The following is a 6,000-nucleotide window of genomic DNA, read 5'->3' as shown; positions in this document are numbered from 1 at the left end:
GTCCATTCTCAGGGTGGGCGTCCTACGAGCAGCCAGAGGGAAGTACAAGTCAGCCTTGAGCCCCGTGGCCGACTCTGCTATCTGACAAGTGGCCGGAACCTTGGTAAGCTGTCATAGCCTAGGAGCTCGGGGCTGGGGAACAGGCCCATCTGGGCAGCCAGGTCGCGAGCCCTTGAGGCTGCTGTGCCCCGACCCCCACTCCCACTGTCCTCTGGGCACCCAACCCCACGCCTGGCTGTGGTGGGGGTTGTTTTCTATTTGTCAAAGGAAGGCAGGAGGGATGTGGGCAATGGAGACCATTGAGTAAAGGACAGATCGGGCTGTGCCACTCCCCTGTTCAGAGCTCACGATGGCTCCCCTGGTCCTGGGACAATGGCCACAACCTCCCTTGCCAGCCTCCCTGCCACCCACTCTGGCCCTCTGGCCTCTGCTCTGCTCCTCCGGTTCCTCCGAGGCTACGGGCCCACGTCCTCTGACCTTTGACCCTGCTGCTTTTGCTGCCTGAATTGCCTCCCCTCATGCCTGCCCCGCAACCTGCACCCGGCCAGCTTCTTCCCATTTCCACACGGACGTCCCCCTCTCAGAAGCCATTTCCCCAGTTAGCTCATCTAAGGGCAGGGCCCCATGACCACCTCCAGCCCGTTCCCTCCCTGCCTCACCCCAGCACTCCAGCTCCTCCAAGTGTGGCCCCTCCCGCAGCACCGCATTTTCCTGTGACCGGACTTGTCCAAGTGCTTTTCATATCGACACTCAGTCTTCATCACAACCACGTGCAGCCGACACTGGTTTACAGGTGGGGAAACTGAGGCACCTAGCCATTCAGTCATCTCCCCAGGCCCCACAGCACGCGATGGAGGACGAGGTTGAGGGCGGGGCCTGCGGCAGGCACTGGTTCACAGTCACACGCAAGGCTTGGCCACCTCGGGCTCGGGAAGGTGCTGCTGTGGAGACGGGTGCAGGAGGGGCCCCCAGTCCTGAGAGCTCAGCTTCCCCGATCCTCACCACCCAGCCCCCGCCTCCCCCCAGCGAGGCTCCTATCCCACGCAGCTCCGGGGCATTTGGGGACCCAGAACCAGGAAGAAAGGAGGTGGGAGGGAGACAGCAGGTGGTGTGTGGGGTGGGGTTGGAGGAGAACTTCCAGGGAGTCAGAGATAGACACAGGAGCAGCCGCGGCCTGGGTGGGCAGGGACGGGAGGCGCAGTGGGTTTTTAGGACGTGCCCCCACGTGCCCCTTGCAGAAACCTGAGAAATGCAAGGGAAGGACCTGGAGTTTGATGGCGCCGCTGCGACCCCTCACGCTGTCTCCCAGCGGGGGCCACGCAGAGGCCACCGTGACTGCTGAGGGGAAGGGCGTCCTGTGGAGTCCAGCGGAAGGAAGGGAGGCTCCCACCTGCACAGCCCCTCGGCCCTGTCAGCCTCCTCTCCTGACTGCACTGCTGTGAAGCCTCCATTCAGTCCTAAGACAAAACCTTAGCTCCTGAGCCCTGCGTTTCTAAAGGGCTCTGCAAACCGGCACCGACTCGCTGCTCCACTGCAGAAGCCACGTGGGTCCCCCAGGCCGGGCCACCGCGCCCAGCGCTCCTGCCCCCGGAATGGCTGCACTCGTCCCACTCCGGGCCTTTGAATGTCGTTCTCTCTGCTGCAAGACTTTTCCTTCCTCACCACTTAGCAAACTCCTGTCTGTGCCTTCAGCTCCAACCCAGAGCCCCTTCCTCTGGGAGGCCTGCCCAGATTTTCTCCACTGACCTTTTTGGATGGCTCTCCCTTTACAAGCCTGTCTCCTCTCCTGGGCTTCGAGCCCTCAGGGGTGAAGATGACCTTGGTTACATCTTTTTCTCCCTTTCCCAAGCCAATGTAGGACAGAACATTCTGGGCACTCAATTATTCTATGCAGGATGCATGAGTCGGCGGGTGACAGGCCTGCTCTGGGAGCCGTGGGCTGCAGCAGGGCTCAGCCGAGATGGGGGAGGAGACTGTGCATGCCCACCCTGTGTCCCACCCAGATGGGGCCCTTCCCCACCCACAAGCGCCACGCTGCCTCTGCCACCCCGTGCCCCAGGTCCACGGTCCCCCATCCCCTCTGTGGACTTCAGGCGGCATGGTGGGGGGCACCGTCCATGGGTGAAAGGCACAGACCAGCCACCGCAGGTCCTGCACGGGCTCCGCAGAGCAGCCACTCTCCAGGCTCGGTGTCCCCTTTGTGAAGTAAGCTGTCACCAGTCAGGGCCCTGTCCCTCGCCGAGGGGCGCCCCAGGGGAGGCGTGGCTGTGCTCAGCCTCGTCTTGTGGAGTCTGGATCTCCACGTACTCCACGCCCGGCTTTCCAGTCCATGCTAGTAGTGACCAGTGCACACTGAGGAACTCAGACCAAGTTCTGGGGACCCTGTGGGAGTCCTTTCTCAGACACCAGTGGGGTGGCGGGGGGAGGGTGGGTATAGACCCCTGTCCCTGACTCCAGCCCTTCTCCTGGCCTCCCAGCCTCCAGTCTGTCTCTGCCCTGTCTCTCACCCCATGACAGAGCTTATCCCTGGGCTTGGGACCTCCCCTGGACTCTACTCCAGGGCCCTGCCGCTCCTCCCCTCACTCCAACTCACTCACAGGTGCCTTGACCTCAGCCCGGCCAAAGCGGAGCTTGCCCCCGACCCCCAGCCTGCTTTTCCTGAGGTGCTCACCCCGTAAGGCCTCGGGGTCCCCAGGGCAGCAGCTCCTCCCGCCCACCGCCCCAGAGTCCTGACTTTGCTGCTCCCAGCTCCCGTTTCTCCACAAAACCTCCCCTAGGCCTTGGCCGTGGCTCCTGTCAATGACGCCACCCCCACTCCACGCCCATGGCACCCCCAGCTACTCCTCCCTGCCCCTCTCGAAGTATTTCCCGGAGAGAACCTGACTCTCACCCATGCTCTGCCCCACCTCTGGCAGACCCCTTGGTCCCTGTGCCTGGCCGGCTGCACCCAGGTCCCTGAGAAGCTGTGTGCCGCTGAGCTCTGCTTCTCTAAGAATGGCCCTGTAAACCCTGGTTAGACCAATGGCTGCCCGCCTAAGCCTGGCCCTGTCACCTCTGTCCCTGGGTCCCCCTGGGCCAATTCCAGCCTCTCTTCTAGAGGGTCCCCTGCTGTCTGCAGGGTTTGTGGGGACTAGGAAACTCATGTTTCCCTAGGGAGCCCGGGGGCCTGGGTCAGGGTCTCTGTCCCTCCCCCACTTCTGCCTCATCCCACCCTCACCCCAAATTCCCTCCGGAGGTCTGGGGAAGGAGTGAGCCCAGGGGTCCTGTCAGGGAGCAGGGGGCAGCAGGCCTGCTCCTGGGTCTCCCTACAGTCCCCAAAGCCAGGCTGTCCAGCAGGGAGGGTGCTTGGGGCCCAAGTTGCTGAAGGAGGCCACCTGTGGTCATCCCCCCTGGCCGCCCAGCGAGCCACACACAGGAGCCTTGTCTCTAGGCCTGGCCACCACCCCTCCAGCTCTGTGCCAAAACCACTTTCCACGGCTGGAGACGGGGTCCCAGACCAAGGCCTCAGCCCAGTGGCCCAGGTCCCAGGCCCCCAGTTCTCTTCAGAGCCCTGGGCCTATCTCTCCAGGGGCAGCTGTTGGCATGGGGGGAGAAACCCTGGGGACCACACCCTCTACACACCCCTCCACAGCCACCTGGAGCCTGGAGCCGCGTCTCCACTCCCTTCTGTCCCCCAGCCTCACACACGCCCCTGAGAAAGGCTATGGCTGTGGCTCAGGGAGCTCCCCACTGCAGCAGTTATGAAGCTGGGATATTCTCTTAGGAACTTTCCCAGCTCCCCAGGGTTGGTGGTGATGACAAGCGTCTCTCAGAGGACAGCTCTTTAAAAAATTAAAAACAAAACAAAACAAAACTCTATTACTGGACAGAGTTTCCTCAGGGATGTTATCTCTTAAGAGTCTCCTAAAGAAGACTCAGGGTGACCCCATAGTGGAGCTGGCTGTGTCCTAGGCGGGGGTCATTCCCGAGGCCTCCAGCAGGACTGAGGGGCCACGTCCTTCTCCAGCCTGCCCAGGACCGAGGCTGCTGTCACCAGCGTGTCCCATTGTGGGGAGTGGGAGAAGGCTTTACTGCTAAGTTTCCTGACATGGCAGTGGGTTTAGCCACGCCCTAGCTGTCTCTGCTGGGGGCTTGTAATCCCAGGAAAGCCCCTCTGAAGATGCCTGGGCCGTCAGTCATGAGCCCGAGGGCAGCCGCATCCCCCGCCTCTGGACTGGTTCCATTCTTCAGGTCAATCCTGGACCGCAATCTCAGGCAGTGGGGCTGACTCATGGACTCGAGGGAGGACACGCACGATCCCAAATGACAGTGAGCCCAAACCCATAGCATGAGCTAAGGCGACCACCCCATCCGTGGTGTTCTTGGAGCCCTCCAGCCTCTTCCTGGGGATGGTTAGGGGCTGGTGAGGGTTTCTAGGAAGGGAAGCCCCTCCCCAGAGCCCTGGTCAGTGGCCCCTCCTAGGGGACCCTTCCTCAGGCCAACTGTGGGCTCCACTGTCTCAGGGCCCCTGCCTGGGTCAGGGTACTGCGGCTTCCTGTTTCCAGAGCTTCCTCCTTCTCAGCCTCAGGGCCACGTGTGCTCAGGAATTCCCTCAGCTGCCTGCAGAGTCAGTTGAGGCCAGAATCCTTTGGGTGAAGTTCCCCTCAACCTCCAGACTGTTGAGAACTGGTCCCTTGTAAGCCCTTGGCTGCTGGACAGGCTTTCTCGGGAAGCAATCTTGCTGACTCTGCAGACAGTGGCTCGCTGGGTCTGGGGTGGATACCTGTGGGAAGGTATCACCCCCAACCCTGCACGGTGGCAGTTGCTGGGCTCACCTGTGGGGGCTGCTGGGTAGCCTGGTCCAGTTCTAAGATCCCTCAGGGCACCTGGAAGTCTGTCCCCTGCAGCTGAGAACCAAACCTCACCTCGGGAATCCCTTCCCAACACCTCCGCAGCAGCCGCTGTGCAGAAGAGGCCTCTGGGGGCTCAGTGGTACACACGCACCCTGAGAATGCCTCCCTTTCTGCTGCCATCAAGGGAGAGTAACGCGGTCGAGGCGCTCCCCTGCCTGCCGCCTGGTCCCTTCTCCTTGGTCGGATGACGTCTAGGAGCCTAGCAAGCAATTTCTGTTTTGGGGTGGATGGGCAGACGGGGCGGTCACCCACGGACGGGCAGACGGGGCGGTCACCCACGGACGGGCAGACGGGGCGGTCACTCACGGACGGGCAGACGGGGCGGTCACCCACGGCTGGGGCTGATCAGTCTCCCTAGCAAAGCTTCTGCTGTTTGCGGGTGGACGGGCAGACGGGGCAGTCACTCACGGCCGGGGCTGATCAGTCTCCCTAGCAAAGCTTCTGGGACAAGCGGGGAGACCCAGGATGACTGTGAGCTCAGGGGCCAGCCTCTTGGCACCTCCAGCTCCATCCCATGGCTGGGCCCAGCCTAGTTTAAATTCCCCTCGGTTGGGACAGCCACGCTCTGGAGCTTCCTCCCAGAAAACTCAGCAAGTTTGCCCCAGGCTGAGAGAGGAGAGGGCCTGGTGTCCTGCTCCCAGCAGCCGCCTCTCCCCGCACTCATGAGGCCCCTCCTTGGCTGGGCAGCGCCCCCACCCTCTCCCACCCTCTCCTGGAAGACCTGACCCCTCCCATCTTCTCCTCAGACTCCAGGGCCACCAGGGTCTCAGACCTCTGACCCCAGGGCAGGGCGGAACCTGTGCTGGCTGCCCCTCGGCTTCTTCTCCGGCTGGCCCTCCCTAACCCAAAGGGAGTATTTGCTGGTTTGTCCTTTCCTTGCCTTAAAAAAAAAAACATCAGTTTTGGCTTTAAATAAGTATTTTCTTCTCTGAGAAGGGTAAATCCATGCTCATTGCAGACTCGTTGGACAATTTTGAAAAGGATTCAGAAAAAAAAAAAATCACCCGGAATCCCGGCACCCAGAGATAATTCAATTTTCAATGAGAATCATGAGACTTTTTCGTTCCACTTGGATCCTGAGCCGTCCCAGTCATTAAATAGTCTTCAG

At 61.4% G+C, this 6,000-nt stretch overlaps 1 annotated feature.

Annotated features, from left to right (window-relative positions):
• Positions 239 to 921: an enhancer, noted in NCBI's record as "H3K4me1 hESC enhancer chr8:143667160-143667842 (GRCh37/hg19 assembly coordinates)". NCBI's record gives its function as "activates a minimal SCP1, AML or CMV promoter by ChIP-STARR-seq in naive H9 embryonic stem cells {active_cell/tissue: H9 hESC(naive)}" and the evidence as "EXISTENCE:reporter gene assay evidence [ECO:0000049][PMID:30033119]".

This window comes from Homo sapiens, chromosome 8, assembly GCF_000001405.40.
Source record: "Homo sapiens chromosome 8, GRCh38.p14 Primary Assembly".
Taxonomy (NCBI): domain Eukaryota; kingdom Metazoa; phylum Chordata; class Mammalia; order Primates; family Hominidae; genus Homo; species Homo sapiens.
The sequence above is the reverse complement of the archived record's forward strand: the minus strand, read 5'-3'. Positions and strand labels throughout refer to the sequence as shown.